Raw genomic sequence first — 25888 nt, forward strand, 5'->3', positions numbered from 1 at the left:
GGGGAAGCCTCAAAGCTCTCTGAAATGCCTTCAAGGCCATTCTCCCATTGTCTTGATGAACAGTACCTGGCTCCCTTGTATTTTTACTAATCTCCTTAGTAAACCACTGCTTGGCTACACTTTTGGTTTGTTCTCCTAAACATACCTTTTTACTCTTTATATGGCTACTCTGTGAAATCTCCACATTTTTCCATTCTGTTTCTCTTTTAATTATAAATTCCATTTTAAGTCATTTCTATCCTCTTGTATCTTACTATAAGTGGTTAAAACTAATCATGCAGTTCCTTCAATATTTTGCATAGAAATTCCTTCTGCTAGATATCCTCATTCATTATGCTTAAATTCTGCCTTCCCTAAAGCTCAAGGGCATGGACACAACTCTGCCAAGTTCTCTGCAACTGTGTAATAAGAATGGCCTTCACCCCAGTTTTCAACATCTTGTTTTTCATTTATATCTACAACTCATCAGAATTGCCTTTACTGTGTATCTTTCTACCAATGCTCTGATCACAGTCACTTAAGTAATTTCTAAGAAATCTCAGACTTCCTTATAGCTATTCTCTTCTGGGTCCTCACCAGAATCACCCTTAATTTTCCACTGATGGCAATCTAGCCTTTTTCTAGCTTGCTTCTCCAAACTCTTCCAGCCTCTACCCATGACCCAGTTCCAAAGCTGCTTCCACATTTTCATGTATCAATTTTCTGTCTTAGTCTGTTTGGTATTTCAATAAAATAATACCACAGACTGGGTAATATATAAAGAACAGAGATTTATTTCTAAAATTCTGGAGGTGGTGAAGTCCAAGAAGGTGGAAGGTGGGGCTGGCACCTTGTGAGAGCCTTCCTGCTCCATCATATGGTAGTGGAAGGCATCACATGGTAAGAATGTGTAAGAGAGAGGGGGAGGAAGGAGATCAGATGCATCCTTTTATCAGGAATCCACTCCCACAATAACTAACCTACTCCTGAGATAAAGGTGTTAATTCATACATAAGGGCAGAGCCCTCATGACCTAATCACCTCTTAAAGGTCCAACCTGTCAACACCATCGCACTGATGATTAAGTTTCCAGCACATGAACTTTGGTGAACACATTGAAACCACAGCAAATGTATTCCTCACACTTCAGAGGAAGCTCTTCAGTGCAATCCTGGATCTGACTCTTCCTTGATTCTCTCAAAATGGCTAGCATATACCTTGTTTATTGTAATTACTTATGGTGTTTCTGTAGTAAATGATCTTGCATAAAATAAAACAATTTAGTATAATTCAGCAAGAAAAAAACAAAGAAAGCATCCTTTTATAATATGCCAAAACGGAAGAGCTTTCATGAGTTAAATAAATCATAAATGCTCATTTTAGTTTTAGAATCGCTAACGCATAAGAAAGGCAATGATAGTATTTTTTTTTTGTAACTAGACACTCATTTCCATGCATTTTGGTTTCATCCACATAAAAGAAATACTCATACTAAGTCGAGATAAAGGTAAACAGTTAAATTCTAAAGGACAGTTTAATTTTTCAGACTTGGGAGCACAATTGGACTATCCAGAAACTTACCTGCATTCTGCTTCTATTAACAAAATTTCTGAAGAATCTGGAATTATTGCTTCTCTGAAATACCTGTATTTGAGGAAATCAGGGTGGGAAAACCATTTCAAGTGTTATACCTATGTTTAGCATACTAAAAGGGCAGACCAGAATTTTCAGGAATGATCCTGCAGCCAGTATTTTTTCCTTTCCCATGAGAAGACTATTGCTGCATTTACCTTCTCATTATCTAAGGACCTTCTACACATTCTCTTCAGGTTTGCAAGGTTTAGCTTTCCTCAGACTTAAGAAACACTTTAATTTATGGGGGTTGATCTAACTACAACAAAACAAGTTATATCTTAAAGAATTAATATATCAGTATGTTTGGTACATACCTCCCAGAGGATCAAAATGTTGACACACTGTTAACTGATTTATCTATTAGAGTAAAAATAAAGAAGGTGGTTATGAAGTACTCAAATTAAATTTAAAGAACATAACACATAACTTAATATTTACATTTAGGATATTTAAAGTAATTGATCCATTGTCAACATCTTTGATTTTTTTCTGTCACTTGTCTTGTATATCATAGTAGTCTAAAATTAAATTTTATTTTACTTCACCATGGAAACAGGCAAATGAAAAATTATTATTACAGTCTATAAGGTGTTTTGTCTTGTCTCTATTGTTAACATACTCAATAATTTGGTTAACAAAAAATTTAAAGTACATATTATAAATATTTTTGAAATTCAGATAATATCTATACTATCATTTGAATATTTTAATATAGTTTTTACCCAAATGCTAAAAGGTTTTGTTATATTTATATCATAATTTATGACAAGTTTATAATTAAGCATTGAAAATGTAAACAACCTTTTCAAGAAGTTACATATATACTATTTTATTTTTAAAGTATTACAAAATAAAATGTGGCCAATGATTACAGACAACTAAATTGTCAAAGTTAATTATTCAAGAGACAATATCACAGGAAATTAAATCAGAATTGAAATCATAAACTTTGATTTAATTGTATTCAATGTAGTACAGAATAAGAGACATTTTCCCAAAATTAGTGTTTATATTTTACATTTTCATACCAGGTTTCTAACGCACAAGCAATAGATGAAGTGAGGATTCTCAAGGTTAATGTAAGTTATATTCTCAAAATACAATTTCCTATTTTAAAAGTAGGCATTTATTTATTTTTATTTATTTTATTTTATTTTTGAGACAGAGTCTAGCTCTGTCACCCAGGTTGGAGTGCAGTGGCGCGATCTTGACTCACTGCAACCTCTGTTTCCCGGGTTCACACCATTCTCCTGCCTCAGCCTCTTGAGTAGTTGGGACTACAGGTGCCCACCACCACGCCTGGCTAATTTTTTGTATTTTTAGTAGAGACGGGGTTTCACCGTGTTAGCCAGGATGGTCTCTATCTCCTGACCTCATGATCCGCCCGCCTCAGCCTCCCAAAGTGCTAGGATTACAGGCGTGAGCCACTGCATCTGGCCAAAAGTAGGCATTTGTTTTTAAATGAGATTCCTAGGAAATAAATTTGTATGTAACAATATTATAATATGTAAAGTGTAAGTTTACTATCTCTATCAAAAATAAAAATTTAAATATAAATAAAATATAAAAATCTTAATGTTAAAGTCACAGTATTTTAATCCACAGTCAAAATTTTTTATAACAAGTTATATTCTGGAACGATCTAAATTCATGTTGTTATGGATCAAGTAAGTTGAGAAACACATTGCCATACCTGATGCAAATACTCTAATCCAAGTGGACAGCTGGTTATTGTCTCTGGTGTAGACAACCAGGGTCGTAGGTCATAAATAGCCATAAACTGGATTATGTAAGTGCTTTAGAGTATGACAAATTGAAAATATTTAGCCTTTTATGTTTAACATCTAACATTATCAAAACATATTAGCTTGGTTAGAGACAGGAATATACAACTACAGTTTTAGCTTTTCTACATTTAATGGTGTAAACATGATTCATCTTTTATTTTGTAAATTGTTTTTAATATATGTGGTTTTATATATGAAGTCTGTCTCTTATCAAATACCAAAAAGGAATTTTAGGAGTACAAGTACTAGTTAATACAGTCATGATAAACTGAGTGCAAATTGATATTCCCATGTGACTTTAATCTATTTAAACACAATTAAATCTTTATGTTTCAGAATCATTTGAAATGGCTGGATTTTACCTACACCAATCTTGAAGAATGAGCATTGGTAAACATGGCAACATTTTGTCCCAAGTAAAGACAAGATAAATCATCTTAAAATGAGGTTTGAGTAGATCTCTGTCTCCAGCACCATGATTCTAACAAAATTAGAATGCATCTCTATGGAGCCAAATTTTCTAATTGGCCCTAATTAGGATTTTGTTATTCTCTGTGTTTTCCTTAGGTTGCTCAGAATAAAACTTATAAAATAAATCCATCTACAAACCCTGTTTCCAGCTCAAAATTTAAGAGGAGGATTCTAACAGTGCCTACAAATACATTGAAAATATTGCAGAACTTACATTATTTTGTGGCAAATATTGTGTGAACTACTCTCAAATAGATACAAGAAAAAATTTGAACTTGTAACTAAGAGGCCACAACATGTAGACAAGAGACAAATATTAATAATGACAAAGAAGAAACATACTTTGAAAAATGTTTACTGCCAAAAACAAGAGTAAATTTTAAATAGCAGGTTTGCATTCCAAAGATATTGACTATGAAATAAGAGATGAGGTAAAGAGAAGTAAAGAAAGAATCCTAGCAGAAGAGAGGATGATACAAACTTAAGTTACTATTATTATTATTTTAGATGGGTCAGTTAACAACTGTATGTTTAAATTTATGAGAAACTGCTAAATGTTTTCCAAAGTGGCTACTCCATTTTACAAGTTCTAATGTTCAAAAGGAAAGCTGGCTGACTTTAGTTAGCAACATGTATTGTATATTTCAAAGTAGTTAGAAGAGAGGATTTGAAATATTTTCTACATGAAGAAATGATAAATATTCAGGGTGATGGATAATTCCAAATACCCTGGACTTTATCATTACCCATTTTCTGCATTTAACAAATACTCACATGTAGCACCTAAATACATAAAATATTAAGTATCAATTAAAAAAATCAACACAAATGTACTGCTTTACAATTTCTGGTGGTCAGAAGTTTGCAATGGGTCCTCAGGGTTGCCTTTGTGCTGGAGGCTGTAGGAATTATATTTTTCTTTCTCTTTTCTAGTTTTACCTTCTGATCTTGTATTCTCTCATTAGGAGGCTTGTAATTACATTTGATCCACTCAGATAACACAGGATAATTTGACTTGTGTTAAAAGATCTAAAGATCCTTAATGCAATTATGTTTGAAAAATACCTTTTTTCATCTAGGTAATATATCTACTGGCTTTCTGGATTATGATATAGGTATGTTGGGGAACCATTGTTCTGTCTACAATATTTCTTTCTTGGTTCCCCTAAAGGACTAGCTATCTCACATGCAAAGTATATAAACCCCATATCAAATCTCCAAAATCTCAACACATTACAGTATCTACTTAAGTCCAAAATCTCAAATAAACCTCATCAGCTGAAACATCCAAAATCTCACCATGTAAATCTTGCATCGGTTGTGACTGTGGGTATGATCCATTATGGGTAAAAATTTCTCTTCAAACTTAGATTTGTAAAACAAGAAAACATGTTACTCTTTTCATAACACAATGTAGGACAGGCATAGTTTCCCTGTTAGAGGCATTTCTGTTCAAAGAGGGAGAATATAGAATGAAAAAAGGAATCATTAATCCAAATAATTTTGAAATCCAGCATGTGAGGCTCTACTAGGTTTTGAGGACTTGAAATAATCCTCTGTGGCTGTCAGTTTCACCTTCTGGCTTCAGGATTCTGCCCTCTTGTCCTGCAGCTCTGCCCTCAGAATCATTCTTCATTTTTCTTAAGGGGAAGCATGTGTTTTCAGCTGAGTAATGTTATTAGGCAGTTTTCATTTGCAATTCTAGTGAATTTCTTTTATTTCTTCCTTTCCCTGTCATTTGCTCCTCCATTGATATTTCCTTGATAATGCCAACTTCATTCCTGGTTTCTGCTTAGAACCAAAAATCACACACCTAAACTCTTCAAAGAGTCCTTTGTGTGATTGAATACTCTGAAATGTTGCTGCTTCAGAAGCATTAGCAAAAGGTTGTCCAGCCATTCCCTTTGCCTTCTCTCCAGAGCACAATTTCCTGACATTGAATGTGCTCATTTTAGTGTCTTGTGCAATCTGGATAAGATGAAAATCTTCTAAATCATCAAGTCCTGATTCCTTTTTCTTAAAATTCTCTCAAGATTTTTTTTCTCTCTCTCTTCTTTTTTATCTCCCACATTGTGCTATAAGCAAAAGGAAGAAACCAAACCACAATTTCAATACTTTGCTTGGAATCCCAACTAAAAATCAAATTTATCTTTCAAAATAACATTATGACACAGTTCAGCTAAGCATTCTATCATTATATAAAAAGAATACAGTTTCTTCATGTTTCCTATAACTTCCTTCTGAGCTCTCACATACAGTACTGTTAATAACAATATTTCCACTAACAGTCTTGTAAAGTAATCCAGGAATTTTCTATTATGCTCCTCAAAGTTCTTCCAGCTTAAACCCATTACACAATTCCAAAGCCACTTATGTATTTTTAGGTACTTGCTACAGCAAACAATGTCCCACTTCCACGTACCAAAACCTGTATTAATTTCCTGTTGCTGCTATAACACATCACTACATACTTAGTGGCTTAAAACAACACATGTATGATATTACAGTTATGAAGTTAAGAAATCAAACTTGAATCGGCAGGACTCTATTCTTTCTAGGGGCTCTAAGGAAACAAAAAATATGTTTTGTTTCAGGTTTTGTTTTGTTTTGTTTTCTGGCCTTATCCATGTTCCAGAGGCTGCCTGTATCCCTTGGTTTGTGGCCTCCTTCCTCCATCTTCACAATCAGCAGTATAGCGTCTCCTTCCCTCTTTTACTTTCTGCCTTTGTCCTATAAGGTCACCTGTGATTATATCGAGGCCTCATAGACAATACAAGATAATTTCTCCATATTTGGAGCCCTTAACTTAATCACATATGTGCAGTAACTTTTGCTGTTTAGGACAACGTAATTATAGGTTTGGGGGATTGTGATTTGCACATCCTTGGGGGCCATTATTCTATCAATCACATTATGGCTACTGTAACTTCAAGGTAGTTGAATTCCAAGACTTCTGTGATGCTGAGGAGAAGGTGATGGAAATAAGGTAAATCAAAATGTCACAAAGCTCACTCTTCTTACTGAGATTTTCCCATTTTTCTTGAATAAATGCTCTTCAGATTGTTGCAAGCCTTTGGTTAATTTTCCAAGTTCTGAAGATTGATGTTGACAAGTTTTACCAGTATTCTGATTGCTTTTATAGAGGAGTAGATTTTCAGACACCCTCACTCTAAATTTGTGTAAAATAATCAACATATGTAGGGAGACTATTACTAGGAAACAAATCAAAATATAGCATCTATGTGCACTGGTAAATACACAAATATATAAATGACAAATACACTTCTAAAAAATTCCAATTACCTACTTATTAATTTTTCTATATTTTCAATAAATATATTGGTTTTATACAGTGTAATATTGTATATATAGTTGTATATGTACATATAAATATATGTGTTTTTAATGTTTGCTAAGTAACGCTGTGTTGATTTTTTTAACACTTGTAACCAAGCAAAAAGATATAAAGCAATCATGCTGAATAAATTGGTTGTCTTTCAATTGTTTTCTCAAAGAATCTCAACTTTAAATTGTTGCTCTATTATTGATTATCTCTAGTTTAATAAAGCAATATATTGCTGCTGGTGAACATGAAATACAAACAATTTTTAAATATTGTCATGATATAAATACTTTCTATATTATAGATCTTCAAACAACAGTGATGACCACACAATTATATAAAATGGATAATTTACCTGAATCCTTAGAGAAAATAGGCGTATTGTATTATGCTTCAGCCCAATTATAGGTTTGTTAATTCTAGAATAAAATTCTGGCTGAATTCATGAAATCTCATACATACAAAAAAGATTCGTAGTTGGTTCAGTGTGGGACCTTATAGATTATTCCTAGTTCAAATCTCATCTCAGTTTAATAGATCAAAAAGATGAGCCTTAGAGATGTTGTGTGGTCACTTAGATTTATTAATGAAAGAGCTAAAAAGAGAACCCAGATATCCCAAAGAGAAACAGCAGAAGCAGCTGTGATGGGCCATGGAAGGAAAGTGGAGAGTATAGATGGAGAAAATGTATTAGGGCAGGACAAAAGAGGCTTGTACATATATATTTTACAGAAATGTTTAATCATAAATCAGAAGAAAGATGGGGTTGAAGACTTTTTTACTCTGCATCTATGTTGTTTATTTCTGTGTCACCTAGATACAAACATAAATGTCTGCCTCCTACTTTGTATACTGAAGATCTATGTGGGTCTCTCATATTTATAATATACTAAACCCAGAAACCTAGGCATATTCTACAAAAGAGAGCAGAATTTTATCTCATATTAGATCAGCAGCAATGAAGCATCAGAAAGGTTATAGATTCTTTAGCCTGAAGACTACTATTTCTTGGTGTGAGATATATAAAATCTCAATTAGATCAGCAATGAAAAGGACTATAGACATAAACAAAGGGCAGTTGTCAGTTATGGACATCAACATTTGAAACAGAATAGTTTCTGGAAACTACATGTGGAATGGCTATCTGACAGGTAAGTTGAAACGGTTTGGTCCTCTGTCTGGCCCACAACCCACTGTCTCTCAAAGTTGCTGTTAGGAAGAGTCTAAGATGGGGAGATCCAAGCCACCACAACAATAAACATTCCATTCAGAATTTTGAAGGTAATTAGTTCTATGAATACTCACATGTGTTTATAAGTCGTCTGCTTCTGAAAGTAGTGAATGGGTGTGACAACACAATTGGTAGGTTAGTGCAAATGGGGACCTTTGGGCCAAATCAGGCCAGAACAGGTGAGGGCTTAGCCAGAAAAATAGTTTGCGTATTTGTTTTTAATTTGAGAGACATTAGCTGAGCAGCACTTTCAGTGTCCTACCTTTGTTCATTCTTGGCTGTCTTTTAAGACATCTACAGCATCATGTATTTATCTTATTTGCCTGGCCCCAGCAGGCAGTTGAGTCATGAGCGATGGCTAACAGATTCAGTTCTGGTCAATATGAGTCATAAAACAAAGCTCTCAGAGACATACAAGTGCACAGATATAAGATATTGTCTTTAATCTTCTATTGGCATCAGGGTTACCTTTTTCTACCCATTCTGGCTGGCACCTCCATGAGGAGTTTCTCTGAGAGAACTTCATTCACATCATTCATGCCTAGAAGTCAGAGTGTGATCTGGTATGAGTAATATTAAACAAGAAAACAAACAGGAATCTGCAGGAATTGCTTGATAATTCAAGTCTCCAGGGTGATATTTTAGATTTTGAGTCACAGATTAAAAAACTGGCCCATGAACGTAGCTGATCCAAATCCCACACAAAGTGTTTTTGTGTTATTTTTGTCTTTTCTTTATTTCTTATTTATATAAATTGTAACTCCTTTTTCTCCACCCACCCAGCCTGCAGGTGGCTGAAATTCCTGGTAAATAGAGAGGACAGGGACAGCAACCTAATTGAAGACAGCTATGACTGGTGTTATCACAGTCATCAGAAAATAAACTTTCATCATTCCAGTTTCCGGGTTTCCCATTGATGGAACTGGTTATACATGGTTCCACTTAGCGGACCAAGTTGGAACAGCTATGCACTGCATAATTTATTAGCTACACTGGTTCTGACTTGAGCCAACAAGGGAAACAAGAAGACAGATTCTTAGTGAGCAAGCTGGTCAATGTACTTGACATGTTTCAAATTATTTATTCTCTTTGTTCATTTGTAGAACAAATTTCTCCCAAGACCTTCCTCCAATGGAACACAAATAAGTCTATATGTGGCTGTAACTCTAAATTACTCTTCACTTCAGTGCATATAATTCTCCAAACATTAACTCCCAAAACCTAGAAGCATAGGGGTAAACCTGGTATAATAATAGGTTTGTGATCTGTGAAATAAAGCAGGACACTGCCACAAATGAAGCCAAAAATAAAAATGGACCACCCTTTAGATAAATCAGAGGTCTATATTTCTTATAGTATTTATAATACTATGATATTATAACATTTTGCTTATTAGGATGTCGGCAGTGTGTATGGGCATCCCATTTGGAGGGTCTGTGGGAAAGAAGTTTGCATATATTCAGCTGTGACTGAGACCTAAGCCCAGATTGGCTAGACTCCCACTACATTCTTATGTCCTTACACTATTGTGGGCTCAAGAATGCAAACATTCTTGATTCTTTGGTTCTGTCTCTTTCCTCTCCTTGCAGTGCCTCTCTCTCTCTCTCTCTCTCTCTCTCTCTCTCTCTCTCTCTCTCTCTCCCTGGCTAGATTCTCACAAGAAACTTAATATTAACTCTACTTAGTTAACAATATTTTAACTTGGAAGTAAAATTGATAACCTTTTCTACTTCTATTCAATATCAGTTATTTCATTTGCCTCAATACTATCTATAACACATTACTTATTTAGGCTCCACTAATGTTAGGTATAACTGTAAAATAAAGATTATGCTACAAGTCACATAAAGTAGTCATTCATTTGGTCCACACAAAAAAATATTCAAGCTTCACCCTTAAAACATCTGCTTTCCATCATTTTTTTCTAGTAAAGAGCTTTAATATCCAATGACTTGTAAATATGATTTGTGCACCTTAAAATATTTTAGATAATGCTAATCAGGTACCCTTAAAATAGGTAGATTATCCTGCATTATTCAGGTGGACCAACGTAATTCCAAGCTTCCTTTAAATGTGGGAGAGGAAAGCAGAAGAATTGAAGTCAGAGAATGGAGATGTTACAGTGGAAACATTTGCTGGTTTTAAAGATGGAAGGAGGCCACAAGTCAAGAAACAGAGGTGGTCTCTAAAAGTTGAAAAGATAAGGAAACAGATTCTTCCCTAGTGCTTCCAGAAATAATGAAACTCTTCCAATAACTTGATGTTAACCCAATGTATTAATCTTCTCAGGCTGCCCAAATAAATTACCACAGACCAGAGAGCTTAAACACAGAAATTTATTTTCTCACAGATCTGGATGTTGGAAGTTCAAGATAATGGTATCCTAATGCAGATGATGGGTTGATGGGTGCAGCAAACCACCATGGCACGTGTATACCTATGTAACAAAACTGCACATTCTGCACGTGTATCCCAGAATTTAAAGTATTTAAAAAAAAAAAAAGATCAAGGTATCAGCATGGTAAGTTTCTGGTGAGAGCTCACTTCTTGATTTATACATGGCCACCTTCTCACTATGTCCTCCCTTGGTCTTTCCTTGGTGCTTGTGCCCAGAAAGTGACAGAGTTCTCTGGTGACTCTTCTTATGAAGACACTAACCCTTTGGGATCAGGGCCCCATCCTTCTGACCTCATTTAATCTTAATTACTTCCTTATAGGCTCCATCTCCAAATACAGTCACATTGCGGGTTTGGGCTTCAACATATGAATTTTTGGGGGACACCAACATTTAGTCCATCACACCAAGTAAGATTCATTTTAGACTTTTGACCTCAGAAATTATAAGACAATAAATTTGTTTTATTTAAAGCCATGAAGTTTGTGGTAGATGGTTATGCCAGCAATAAAATCCTAATATAAATCTTGGTACGGGAATCACAGCTTTTCTGCTGTTTTGCTTTTTATAGTTTCAGTTACCAGCATGGTCAACTGAGGTCCAAATATATTAAATGAAAAATTCCAGACATAAACAATTCATAAGTTTTAAATTGTATGGCAGTCTGAGTAGTGTGCGAAAATCTTGAGCTGTCCCTGTGGGATGTAAATTATCTCTTTGTCCAGCAGATCCACACTGTCTCCACCACCCTCCCGTAGGACATTTTCATTATCAGTTTGAGTGCACAGTGGTTGTGTTCAAATAACCCTATTTTACTTAATAAGGGCCCTAAAGTGCAAGAGTAGTGATGCTGGCAATACAGATATGATAAAGAGAAGACATAAAGTGCTTCCTTTAAGTGAACAGGTGAAAGTTCTCAACTTAATAAGGAAAGAAATAATATATATGGAACCTCAGTATATATATATATACTAAAAACAAATCTTCTATCCATGAAATTATAAGGAAGGAAAAATAAATTTGTGTTTGTTTCACTGCTGCACAACAAAATCTAAAAGTTACAGCCATAGTGCCTGATAAGTGCTTAGTTAAGATAGAAAAGACGTTAAATATGTTGCACCAGGAAGCACTGAAACTATGTGAAGACTCCAGCAAGGGATCCCCTGAAATGAATGACATCAAGTCATTTATTGCAAGTAAGAGGCTGTATCTGCCCATTAAGAAGCTGCTACCACATTTCTGGAAGAGTTAAAGAAGTTAAGGGGAAAGTATACCATCCAAACGTGGCACTTCTGGAAGAAGATGCCCAAAAGAAACTACATTCATAAAAGTGCAAAAAAGGTACCAGGACTTAAACCATGAAAGGACATATTAACTCTGGTACTATGTGGCAAGTCATATGTAGAGTTTGGTACTATCTACTATTTGGGGTTTCCACCATGGGTGTGGCTTCGGTTTCCTGCAGACAAGAGGGTGGCAACTGTATCTGGAAGTGGGGTGCTGCAGTTAACAAATATCTAAAAATGTGGAAGTAGCTTTGGAATTTGGCAATGGGCCAGGCTGAAAGGATTCTGGGGAGTATGATAGAAAAAGTATAGATGGCTTAAATAGCTGTTTCATATAAATATGATGTTAATGACTCTGCTAGTCAGTACTCAGAAGAAGTGAGGTTCATGAAAATAAAATAAGTACTATTTTAAATAATACATCATCATGAGCAGACTGATGATAGAAATATGGAGTTAAAGGCACTGAAGGGGTGTGGGCTCAGATAAAGATGAAGAACCTATTATTTGAAACTGGAGAAAAGTGGATTTTTGTTATATAATGGCAGAAAGATGAGCTAAATTTTGTGCTGCATTAAAGCCATCATTTTATTCTTTGTAAATTTACAAGTATCTTATTGAGTGCTGCTTTGAGACAATGTAAATACACTTTTACTCCTCAAACTTTCAACCACTGATTATAGAAACCATTTATGATTTCTTGCTAGAATGAAATTGTTGTCATAATGATTGCCAACTGAGAATTTTTTTGAATTCAATCATTTCTTCTACTTCTAATTAGCTTTTCTGCAAACAAAGGAACATTCTATTTTTTCTCTATTCCTCCCTCTCTGTTTCCCCCCTTTATTTTCCTTCCTTCCTCCCTCCCTCCTTCCCTCCTTCCTTCCCTCCCTCCTTCCCTCCCTCCTTCCCTCCCTCTCTCCCTCTCTCCCTCCTTCCTTCCTTCCTTCTTTTCTTCCTTCCTTCCTTCCTGCCTTCCTTCCCTCCTTCCCTCCTTCCTTCCATCAAAATCGTATATGAAAATGTCTGATTATTCTACCTATTGGACTGGTGGTGATTATTGCTTTCATTTTCAGACAAAGAACTTTAGAGGAAGTCAAGATAGGCATTCTCTTAACTGATCTTCACTTGCCCAAATTACTGGGTTGACTTTTTAAACTCTCTATAAAACCTACCCATGATCCCCAAATTACACTGAATGTGTGTGGCTAGTACATGAAATTTGTCCCTTTGATTTTCTAATTGTGAGGGTACATCTACCCTAACAAATTGAGTTCTACACCTACAAAGAGTGATTTGTATTTTTTCTTAAACCAGTTTATGCAAAACATATTCATTAATATTACGGAAAGCAGATAAATATTATTTAGTACTTTAATTAAAGATTAATTTAAAAATATTTTGTACAAGAACTAACCTGAAATCTTTGAAAACACTTATTAAAGCTAGTTGCTAAAGTTGATATGAAACACTAGAAAATGGTAGTAAAAATCTAGTATTCTGCACTAAATTACGTTTTTATGTGTCTTTAAATTCTGTTTCCATGTATACAAAAATAAAGTGTGTATCTTTATGGAAGAAAGACAAGGTAGAACAGCAGGTCCAAACTTGGCCTTTGGCCCTACATCCAAAGACTAGAAAATAAATAAATGATATAATAATAATAGTAGTAGTAAACTTCACCCTCAATTTATTTAAAAGAATGCATGCATTTTAAAAATACAATTCTCCACTTTTTATTGACATTTTATTTAAACAACTGCTAAACTCAATATCTTCACATAAATGGACTTTGACAACTTTGAGAACTTTCAAGATTTACAATACACATCAATTCACCCTGTAAATTTGAAAGATGGGTAATTCAACAATTTTAGGCCATATACCATGTATCCAGTTTTAGCATGTTCAAAAAGAACTTCTCTAACTGTAGAATCTATATTAGTTCCTAGAGAACAATCAGTCAAGCCATGGTGCTAAAGAAAAAGGTACAATTTCAGACAAGCCTGCCATCAGGATTCCTGGAGACTGAAAGAGAGCTACATGGAGGAGGAAACACTTGATTTGATCTTTCAGGAATGGTTGGAAAGTCTAGGAAAGGCTGTCCAGTCAAGAGAAAGAGCATGGATAAGATGGGTGAACTTCTTAACATGGCTAACAAGGCACTGCATTATCTAGCCTTCCTTCACATGCTGCACCTCCCTCCCTGCCCAGCACCGGCAATGCACACAAGAATACAAAGCTAATGGTCCAGCCACATTGCAGAGGACCGATGTGAACTCTGTCCAAGTTCTTTCCTCTGTCTAAAACTATATTCTCCCCAATTCTCTTGTGCTGAGCAAACTTTCTGTCTTAGTTTAAAAGTCACCACCCACAGGAAGAATTTCATTAAAATTGAGTTCAGCATTCCCAATACTTAGTTTCTATATACCTTGAACTCGATCATAACACTTTTCACATGTATGCCTGTACTTAAGCACCTTGAGGATAATAATTTTGTTCATTATTGAGGTCAATATACCTAACAAAACCAATAGCCCAGAGCAATATCTTTGTATGTATTTATTAATTGACTGATAATCAACTTTATCTCCTTTAAATCAATCAATTTTATATTTTTATATTGGTTTCCCCCTCAGTTCTCATGGAATAAATGCCACAAATGCATTTATATGAGTGACTATCTTTTTCACACACACACAAAAATTAGATTGCAAAACAAAGGATTTTGCAAACAAATGCACTTCTGCCTGTGATTAGCAACAATGGTGAGAAAATTCTGGCAGTACAATTTAAAAGAAATGTACTTAGCTTGTACGTGGTAGATCCAATTTACTCTGTAAAGGGTATCTGAAAGAGAATTTATCTGGATTATCTCTGAATTACTACTGTCTATTGGCAATATTTGATTAAAGTTGAAATGTTTCTTAGAAACTGATTCTCAAGAGAAAATGCAATTTTAGGAAGAAAGAAACTGATGTTTGTTTTCTACCTCTGCCAGACAGAAATAACCTCAATATATTAATGACAAGAGGCCAGAATCCACAAGCAGAAACAAATTGCCATTAGTAGGCAAGTAGATTTCAAGTATTGGTTTTCCAAATCTAGTTCATTTCCAAATTAGATAAATTTATAACCTGTCATTAATAGGATATTTTCAGCCACAGAATAATATTAGATTAAAATTTGACTTCAGTGCTTGGTTTGTGGGAATAGTAAGTTCAGAGCTCTGTGTATTGCTTATCATTCTATAGCCCTCCCACCTTGTAAATCCTGAGTTCAAACCCTATATTGTTCAGTTATGTTTCATCTGGTTTTAGGGTATGAGATTTTTACTCCCCTCAGACAATGGCTTCTGCATTTTGATGCTATGAGGCTAAGAAAAAACAGTCTCTAGCCCAGATGCTAGTCTACACTTCTGTGAGATGAGAATCATTCCTTAGTTTGGCATCTTGCATAAAGACTTATTTTCTGTTCTGAGAGGATAATCAATATTCATCATGGGGTTCAGAATGGTTTTATATGCCATTAAAAGTTGCAAAACAGAAATTTAATGTAGCCCAAATATTCCACATTGGCTTTGAGCCACCTCCCTGTGTTTTAAAAACTGTTGATCTTTACCAACACACAGTCCTTTTTTCTATGTTTGTTCTACTGCAGGAACCTTCTCATGTCCCTGGACCCGCATTAGATCACTAAATCTTCACACTGACCTTATGAGGTAGTGTATTAATCCATTTTGCATTGCTTTAAAAGAATACCTGAGGCCGAGTAATTTATAAAGAAAAGAGGTTTATTTGGCTCATGGTTCTGCAGGCTGCACATGAAGCATAGTGCCAGCATCTGCTTCTGGTGAGGCCTCAGGAAGTTTACAATCAAGATGAAAGGTGAAGGGGACCAGCATGTCACATGGAAAAGGAGAGGGCAAGAGTTTAGAGGGCTCAGAAGAAGACAAGAAGACAAGGGAAAGTTTGGAACTCTTTAGGGACTTGCTCAGTGGCTGTGACCAAAATGCTGATGGAAATGCAAACAGCGAAGGTCGGGCTGACAAGGTCTCAGAAGGAAATGAGGAATTTATTGGGAACTGGAGCAAAGGTCACCCTTGTTATGCCTTAGAAAAAAGAACTTAGCTGCATTGTGTCCATGACCCTGGACTTTGTGGAAGGTTGAACTTAAGAGTGATGACTGAGGGTATCTAGTGGAAGAAATTTCTAAGCAGCAAAGCATTCAAGATTTACCCTGGCTGCTTCTAACAGCCTACACAGATGTGGGAGAAAAGAAATAACTTAAAATTGGAATTTATTTATTTATTTTTTTTTTGAGATGGAGTCTCGCTCTTTCACACAGGCTGGAGTGCAGTGGCATGATCTCGGCTCACTGCCAGCTCCACCTCCTGGGTTCATGCCATTCTCCTGCCTCAGCCTCCCGAGTAGCTGGGACTATAGGCGCCCGCCACCACACCCAGCTAATTTTTTGTATTTTTAGTAGAGATAGGGTTTCACCGTGTTAGCCAGGATGGTCTCGATCTCCTGACCGTGTGATCCGCCCACCTTGGCCTCCCAAAGTGCTGGGATTACAGTCAAGGATGTTTGACTTCCAGGGAAGGGGTGGGAGCAAAGAGGGGTGAGAGAAGGAAGGGCTGTGTAAAGGAGACACTTTCTGTCCTAGGATAATTAAAGAGACAATACTCAAAGCAGTTTCCCCCCACTAAATTCCGCGCCTGGCTGGAATTTATATTTAAAAGGGAGGCAAAGTATAAAAATTTGAAGCATAGCCATGTAGAAAGAAGGAAAAAGCATTTTCAGAAGATGAATAAAAGAGGGCTGTAGAGCCACCACTTGCTAGAGAGATTAGCATGACTAAATGGAAGCCAAAGAAACCTTTTTTTCTTTATAAATTACCCAGCCTCAGGTATTTTTTGTAGCAACACAAACAGACTAATACAGGTAGATACTACTATCAATGACAACTATACTATTGAAAATTGAGGAAAATTAAGGCACAGGGAGAAACACAGGGCTTGAAAGAGATAGGGCCAGGTGCAGGAAGGTTCTAGGAAAGTCAGGAAGCCATTGTATGGTGGGTAATAACAAGGGCAGGAGTAGGGCAGGACTTGGAGAGAACTTCTGTGCACTCTTCTGGCACTTCACAGCATCAGTAGCACTTAATTGTGCCCAGAGACATTTTAAATCATTCTGTCCTTAAATGATAGCAGCAATTCTCTATTGAGTTTTTTCTGATTACACTAATGTTACAGTAGCTCCTTTTGAGCCCAAACTCAGCTAAAACTTTAATACCTAAGCTGTAGAGAGATGTTAATTAACTTGATGCCAGGAGTCCACACAGTGATTTTCTGCAATTTAACTGCCTGTGTGTTCTTTTTTGTTCCTATCCTCAGTCTGGTCTCCAGTCTACACTTTCACTTCCCCCCACCCCCAAGTCTCCTCCAAGAGGTATGCAGGTCCAGGCAGTCACATCTCTTAGCCTTGTTCTTTCCCTCCCTCTTTATTCTCCCCCTTCCCCACTGATCCATGTGCCCAGAAATTCCTTCCCAATACAAAACACAGCTCCATCCCCCAGCCATCACAACTCTTCCTCCTCAATGTTACTCCAAGTCAGGGATACCTACTGACCTTCCATGCACTGTTACAACCACCCCACAGTGACACAGGTCCTAGCATGAGGCAAGCACCCAAACTTCTCCTCTCCTGGGTGTTAGGCCCTCATGGAGCAGGAAAAGAAACTTCTCACTCATTGCCTTCCCCCTCAGGCCAAGGATGCTTGACTTCCGGGGAAAGGGTGGGAGCAAAGAAGGGTTAGAGAAGGAAGGGCTGTGTAAAGGAGACACTTTCTGTCCTAGGATAATAGTAGAGACAATACTCTAAGCAGTTTCCCCTCACTAAGCCACTTAAGGCAAGGGGCCATGAAAAGGAACTTTCTCAGAACTTTTTTATTCTAGTATGTTTCTATCCAAAATCATTAGATCTGTCTTCTTGTTCATTATCTTTTGCCTGAAAGTTTTATCAACTCACTCTTCTCCATCCCACAACTCCCTTCACATAAACATACCCAGACACAACTCAGATTTTTAGCCAGCACTGGCCTCTTAGTGAATGCTTGCTGCATGATGACATGATTAAAGCAGCAAGTTGGCCAAGACCCTACAGTTTCTGACTTCAGGATTACATTGAGTTGGAGTGTGCCTGCTTAAGAGGGAGGCTTAAACCAAAACATCAGGGAATATTCTGTTCCCCATCTCCCACCACTAACTAACTAACAATAATTGAGTGGAAAGAACAGTGAATTACAGGTAAGAATACCACAAGATACAGATTATCTCCAAGGAGCAAACATGTGGTAAAACCCTCTGGCAAAGTAGCCTACATCTTGAACAAAAGTTATCACTAAAAGAATACGAAGACTGGGGTGCAACAAAGGTAACTATACAACATACTTGAAACTAAGCCAAGCTATGAACTGCGTAAACACAATTCACAGGCCAAAAGGTTTACCACAAGGACAGGCAAGCTCATCAAGCATTAAAAAAAAAAAAAAGACTTTATTATCTTCTTTCCTGTACACATCAAGATCTATGTGATGCTGTGTCTTAGTGCATCCTATTAGGTGGTACTTGATTTTCTTTTATCCCATTACTGATGATGTTTATTTTAATTATTTTACTTTAAATTTTCTTTAATGGAGTTGGCTGCTAGACATTCTCTAAAATGTTACTCATTTTCCCTCTGAAATTAAAATAATTTGAGGGAAAATAAATTGAAACTGTGTATATCATGGTCTTCATCAAACCTTTAATTAATTTATTTACTTATAAGAATATCTGTATGAACTTACCGTGTCCAATTTTATTCAGGAAGTAATAATATCCTTAATTTTGTTGGGGAGAACCCTTTCAAGTTCCTTCCTTTATCCTTTTGCCATGTCAGCATCATTACTTGAGCACCTCCTTGAGTTTCCACAAGTTGTACAAAGCTTATCTTACACCTTTCCCTACCAAAATCCTGGGATCAACCATTCTCAAAACAAGCCCAGTTGATTTGAGTGGAAAATAGTATCTAGAAACCAAGATTTAGGACTTGGTGGGCAAAATGGTGGCCTGAGATGTGATACAGTTCCTTTGCTTTTTCAAAGTAAGAAAGATGGGCAAAGTGAGCCACTGTTAGGAATGAGCCTAAGACACCATATCTGTATAAGTCACATCATGCTGAAGGAAAAAATTCCTGCAGTGGTAAGGTCTCTACTCAAAGGCAGGTATGGCAAAAAGGAGGGCAAGGACAAAAATACTTTTATAGAATCTACCTTTTTGTTCTAAATCCTTTGGTTCTTTTAAATGCCTGCTATTAAAGTGTGCTAAATTTGATTAAATGCTGCTGGTGAGGTAGAAAATATAATAAACTAGAATGTGGGTATATCATGGAAGTTAAGCCACAGAAACTATTCTATTACTACCTAAAAAGTCTTCCATATACTAGCCATGTAATAATGTTTTTTGAAAAATAATCATAAGTATGTCATTTTCATTCATTTTTGTCTGCTTTATGGTAAATCCATTAATTTAAAGACTATAGTATGTCTTGATTGCAAATAAATTTTTTTTACATTAAAATATATTTTCTTGCCTCCAACTGATTTCTCCTTCTGGAATTCTTATTGTGCATGAATTGAAATTGACATATTTGTTTGCTAGGTCTTAACTTTTTTCTTTATATTCAGTGTTTAATCTTACTTCTGGGAGAACTTCCAAAACCTATTTTTTAATTTATTGTGTTAGCTATCTATTTTATGCAATCTGTTGTTCTGGTGCCTCCATCATACTTTAAAATAGGGTCATCATATTTTTCAATTTTATTAAAATTTGGCACATCAGAATGTTCTTTTTTCTGTATGCCTGTTTCAGAAACAAATACACACCATTCTCTCAAATCTCACTAAAATTCAAATTAAGCCTTTTTTGCAATACCTAGTATTTTTATTAATTAACTTGATAATTGTTGATGTTTGATGATTTTTCTCCATGTAAATATTCAATGCGAAATGTTTATCTAGTATTTGAATTTAAATGAGTTCCACAGATAGTGTGCGAGTTTTTCCTTACATCTTCCTTGCACAGTAGAAGAAGGAAGGAACCGTTTAGATCAGTTATAGTTTCATTTTGCCTAGCCAAAGATCCGGAATCCTATGCAGAGAGAGAAGAAAGGAAAGTAAGACATGGTTGTAAAAGAGATAATGTCAGTACCTCTAATCCTCATTTTGGGTTGGTTTTGCATCTGACTGCCATATTTGCAAGCCCTCCCCTTCTCTAATTGGCACAACTAAAGCCACATACAAATACCTCCACTTGACTTGGCATACTGTCTGTACTAAGCATATGCTAGAGATGAGTGCCCTGGGTACCCTTCATCCTTGGAATCTGGCATCTGATGAATTATTTAGGCTGCTGGGAGGTCATCTAGACATTGCTTTTTCTGTAGCTCCACTGCTATACCAATGTTCTCATCCATCATTTGCCATTTGGGGTTATTGGCTTTGGTAGAGTTCTGCTGGTGGTAACACTTATGGGGAGAGTGGCTGTTGGAGGAGTTTGCTGAAGCTGAAAGGGATACCCTTATTTCCTAAGCATACTTTTCTTTGCATGAAGTAAATTGTGGGTTGGCTGTCCCCTCTCTCAATTCAATCTTCCCTACAAAACAAATTACAAATGCCTTTAAGTTTCTGACAGCTGGAAATCCTAGTTTCTAACACTGGTACAGTTTTTACTACAAAATATTATATGTCTTCCCTTTCTTTTTTAATGCTGAACGTTATTAAAAATGAGATAATAAAACATTTAACTATGTCAGGATAACATATCTCACTGTATTGGAAACCACACAAAAATATAATAATATATACCTGAATGGCTCTGGGCAACTGAACACTGTTCTAAATTGCTGATGGGAATTCATAGATAAATAAATTCTATGAAGGATAATTTGAACAGGTATTCCACTTTTCAAATCACTTCTAAATATGCACTAGGAAAAATATAAAATATGTATGCCTATTTATTCATGAAAGCTTACTTGGAATCGTACAAAATTTCAAGGAAAATGAAAGTCCAATTGTAGGGAATTGTTTGAAGAAACCATGACATAGCCACTTAATGACATACTATGCAACTAGTAAAAGGAATGAAAACATCTCTATGTACTTATGTAGACTTTTATATATATATGATATAATTTTGCCCTGAAAATTTATAGATCCTTAATATATACAAAAATAAAATTAGAAGAGAAAATTCAATCCCTAAAAATTAAGAACAAATGGAAACAAATGATTTTATTTATTTTTACAAGAAAGTCATTTCACTTTGTTTTATTTCCAATAGTGATTTAGTTATTCAATTTTTCTTTTGCTGTGCTCTTTTTAAAGGTGATTTTATTTATTTATTTACTTTTATTATTATACTTTAAGTTCTAGGGTACATGTGCACAATGTGCAGGTTTGTTACATATGTATACATGAGCCATGTTGGTGTGCTGCACCCATTAACTTGTCATTTACATTAGGTACATCCCCTAATGCTATCCCTCCCCCCTCCCCCCACCCCATGACAGGCCCTGGTGTGTGATGTTCCCCATCCTGTGTCCAAGTGTTCTCATTATTCAATTCCCACCTATGAGTGAGAACATGTGGTGTTTGGTTTTCTGTCCTTGCTATAGTTTACTCAGAATGATGGTTTCCAGCTTCATCCATGTCCCTACAAAGGACATGAACTCATCATTTTTTATGGCTGCATAGTATTCCATGGTGTATATGTGCCACATTTTCTTAATCCAGTCTATCATTGATGGATATTTGGGTTGGTTCCAAGTCTTTGCTATTATGAATAGTGCCACAATAAACATATGTGTGCATGTGTCTTTATAGCAGCATGATTTATAATCCTTTGGGTATATACCCAGTAATGGGATGGCTGGGTCAAATGGTATTTCTAGTTCTAGATCCTTGAGGAATTGCCACACTGTCTTCCACAATGGTTGAACTAGTTTACAGTCCCACCAACAGTGTAAAACTGTTCCTATTTCTCTACATCCTCTCCAGCATCTGTTGTTTCCTGACTTTTTAATGACTGCCATTCTAACTGGTGTGAGATGGTATCTCATTGTGGTTTTGATTTGCATTTCTCTGATGGCCAGAGATGATGAGCATTTTTTCGTGTGTCTGTTGGCTGCATAAATGTCTTCTTTTGAGAAGTGTCTGTTCATATCCTTCGCCCACTTTTTGATGGGATTGTTTGATTTTTTCTTGTAAATTTGTTTAAGTTCTTTGTAGATTCTGGACATTAGCCTTTTGTCAGATGGGTAGATTGTAAAAATTTTCTCCCATTTTGTAGGTTGCCTGTTCACTCTGATGGTAGTTTCTTTTGCTGTGCAGAAGCTCTTTAGTTTAATTAGATCCCATTTGTCAATTTTGGCTTTTGTTGCCATTGCTTTTGGTGTTTTAGTCATGAAGTACTTGCCCATGCCTATGTCCTGAATGGTATTGCCTAGGTTTTCTCCTAGGGTTTTTACGGTTTTAGGTCTAACATTTAAATCTTTAATCCATCTTGAATTAATTTCTGTATAAGGTGTAAGGAAGGGATGCAGTTTCAGCTTTCTACATATGGCTAGCCAGTATTTCCAGCACCATTTATTTAATAGGGAATCCTTTCCCCATTTCTTGTTTTTGTCAGGTTTGTCAAAGATCAGATGGTTGTACATGTGTGGTATTATTTCTGAGGGCTCTGTTCTGTTCCATTGGTCTATATCTCTGTTTTGGTACCAGTACCATGCTGTTTTGGTTACTGTAGCCTTGTAGTATAGTTTCAAGTCAGGTAGCATGATACCTCCAGCTTTGTTCTTTTTGCTTAGGATTGTCTTGGCAATGTGGGCTCTTTTTTGGTTCCATATGAACTTTAAAGTAGTTTTTTCCAATTCTGTGAAGAAAGTTCATTGGTAGCTTGATGGGGATGGCATTGAATCTATAAATTACCTTGGGCAGGATGGCCATTTTCATGATACTGATTCTTCCTGTCCATGAGCATGAAATGTTCTTCCATTTGTTTGTGTCCTCTTTTATTTCGTTGAGAAGTGGTTTGTAGTTCTCCTTGAAGAGGTCCTTCACATCTCTTGTAAGTTGGATTCCCAGGTATTTTATTCTCTTTGAAGCAATTGTGAATGGGAGTTCACTCATGATTTGGCTCTCTGTTTGTCTGTTATTGGTGTATAGGAATGCTTGTGATTTTTGCACATTGATTTTGTATCCTGAGACTTTGCTGAAGTTGCTTATCAGCTTAAGGGGATTTTGGGCTGAGATGATGGGGTTTTCTAAAGATACAATCATGTCAATTGCAAACAGGGACAATTTGACTTCCTCTTTTCCTAATGGAATACTCTTTATTTCTTTCTCTTGCCTGATTGCCCTGGCCAGAACTCCCAACACTATATTGAATAGGAGTGGTGAGAGAGGGCATCCTTGTCTTGTGCCAGTTTTCAAAGGGAATGCTTCCAGTTTTTGCCCATTCAGTATGATATTGGCTGTGGGTTTGTGATAAATAGCTCTCATTATTTTGAGATACATCCCATCAATATCTAGTTTATTGAGACTTTTTAGCATGAAGCACTGTTGAATTTTGTCAAAGGCCTTTTCTGTATCTATTGAGATAATCATGTGTTTTTTGTCTTTGGTTCTGTTTATATGATGGATTACGTTTATTGATTTGTGTTATGTTGAACCAGCCTTGTATCCCAGGAATGAAGCCCACTAGATCATGGTGGATAAACTTTTTGATGTGCTGCTGGATTTGGTTTGCCAGTATTTCATTGAGGATTTTTGCACTGATGTTCATCAGGGATATTGGTCTAAAATTCTCTTTTTTTGTTGTGTCTCTGCCAGGCTTTGGTATCAGGATGATGCTGGCCTCATAAAATGGGTTAGGGAGGATTCCCTCTTTTTCTATTGATTGCAATAGTTTCTAAAGGAATGGTACCAGCTCCTCTTTGTACGTCTGGTAGAATTTGGCTGTGAATCTGGTCCTGGACTTTTTTTGGTTGGTAGGCTATTAATTATTGCTTCAATTTCAGAACCTGTTATTGGTCTATTCAGGGATTCAACTTCTTCCTGGTTTAGTCTTAGGAGGGTGTATGTGTCCAGGAATTTATCCATTTCTTGTAGATTTTCTAGTTTATTTGCATAGAGGTGTTTATAGTATTCTCTGATGGTAGTTTGTATTTCTGTGGGATCAGTGGTGATATCCCCTTTATCATTTTTTATTGCATCTATTTGATTCTTCTCTCTTTTCTTCTTTATTAGTCTTGGTAGTCATCTATCAATTTTGTTGATTTTTTCAAAAATCCACCTCCTGGATTCATTAATTTTTTTGAAGGGTTTTTTGTGTCTCTATCTCCTTCACTTCTGCTCTGATCTTAGTTATTTCTTGCCTTCTGTTAGCTTTTGAATGTGTTTGCTTTTGCTTCTCTAGTTCTTTTAATTGTGATGTTAGGGTGTCAATTTTAGATCTTTCCTGCTTTCTCTTGTGGGCATTTAGTGCTATAAATTTCCCTCTACCCACTGCATTAAATGTGTCCCAGAGATTCTAGTATGTTTTGTCTTTGTTCTCATTGGTTTCAAAGAACATCTTTATTTCTGCCTTCATTTCGTTATGTACCCAGTAGTCATTCAGGAGCAGGTTGTCCAGTTTCCATGTAATTGAGCAGTTTTGAGTGAGTTTCTTAATCCTTAGTTCTAGTTTGATTGCACTGTGGTCTGAGAGACAGTTTTTTATAATTTCTGTTCTTTTACATTTGCTGAGGAGTGCTTTACTTCCAACTATGTGGTCAATTTTGGAATAAGTGTGATGTGGTGCTCAGAAGAAAGTATATTCTGTTGATCTGGGGTGGAGAGTTCTGTAGATGTCTATCAGGTCTGCTTGGTGCAGAGCTGAGTTCAATTCCTGGACATCTTTGTTAACTTTCTGTCTCCTTGATCTGTCTAATGTTGACAGTGGGGTGTTAAAGTCTCCCATTATTATTGTGTGGGAGTCTAAGTCTCTTTGTAGGTCTCTAAGGACTTGCTTTATGAATCTGGATTCTCCTGTATTGGATGCATATATATTTAGGATAGTTAGCTCTTCTTGTTGAATGGATCCCTTTACCATTATGTAATGGCCTTCTTTGTCTCTTTTGATCTTTGTTGGTTTAAAGTCTGTTTTATCAGAGTCTAGGATTGCAAACCCTGCTTTTTTTTGTTTTCCATTTGCTTGGTAGATCTTCCTGCATCCCTTTATTTTGAGCCTATGTGTGTCTCTGTATGTGAGATGGGTCTCCTGAATACAGCACACTGATGGGTCTTGACTCTTTATCCAATTTGCCAGTCTGTGTCTTTTAATTGGAGCATTTAGCCCATTTACATTTAAGGTTAATATTGTTATGTGTGAATTTGAACCTGTCATTATGATGTTAGCTGGTTATTTTGCTCATTAGTTGATGCAGTTTCTTCCTAGTATCAATGGTCTTTATAATTTGGCATGTTTTTGCAGTGGCTGGTACCGGTTGTTCCTTTCAATGTTTAGTGCTTCCTTCAGGAGCTCTTGTAAGGCAGGCCTGGTGGTGACAAAATCTCTCAGCATTTTCTTGTCTGTAAAGTATTTTATTTCTACTTCACTTATGAAGCTTAATTTGGCTGGATATGAAATACTGGGTTGAAAATTCTTTTCTTTAA

At 36.1% G+C, this 25888-nt stretch overlaps 1 protein-coding gene across 32 annotated transcripts in view; it reads right to left on the reverse strand.

The window, feature by feature from the left end:
• The window catches only part of PLSCR2 (phospholipid scramblase 2), a 104572-nt gene that overhangs the window by 21777 nt on the left and 56907 nt on the right, over nucleotides 1-25888 (reverse strand). For 19 of the 32 annotated variants that reach the window (NR_172560.1, NM_001199979.1, NM_020359.4 and 16 more), the window contains one exon: nucleotides 20092-20321. The gene's annotated coding sequence lies outside the window, so the exon portion shown is untranslated. Of the gene's footprint in view, nucleotides 1-1560; nucleotides 1624-1928; nucleotides 1972-3307; nucleotides 5948-8891; nucleotides 8988-20091; nucleotides 20322-20368; nucleotides 20826-21095; nucleotides 21160-25888 lie in introns of those variants that run through there. The other 13 variants (XR_002959564.2, NR_172559.1, XR_002959563.2 and 10 more) reach the window with 11 other exon arrangements.

The sequence above is a fragment of the Homo sapiens genome, chromosome 3 (genome assembly GCF_000001405.40).
Source record: "Homo sapiens chromosome 3, GRCh38.p14 Primary Assembly".
Classification (NCBI taxonomy): Eukaryota; Metazoa; Chordata; class Mammalia; order Primates; family Hominidae; genus Homo; species Homo sapiens.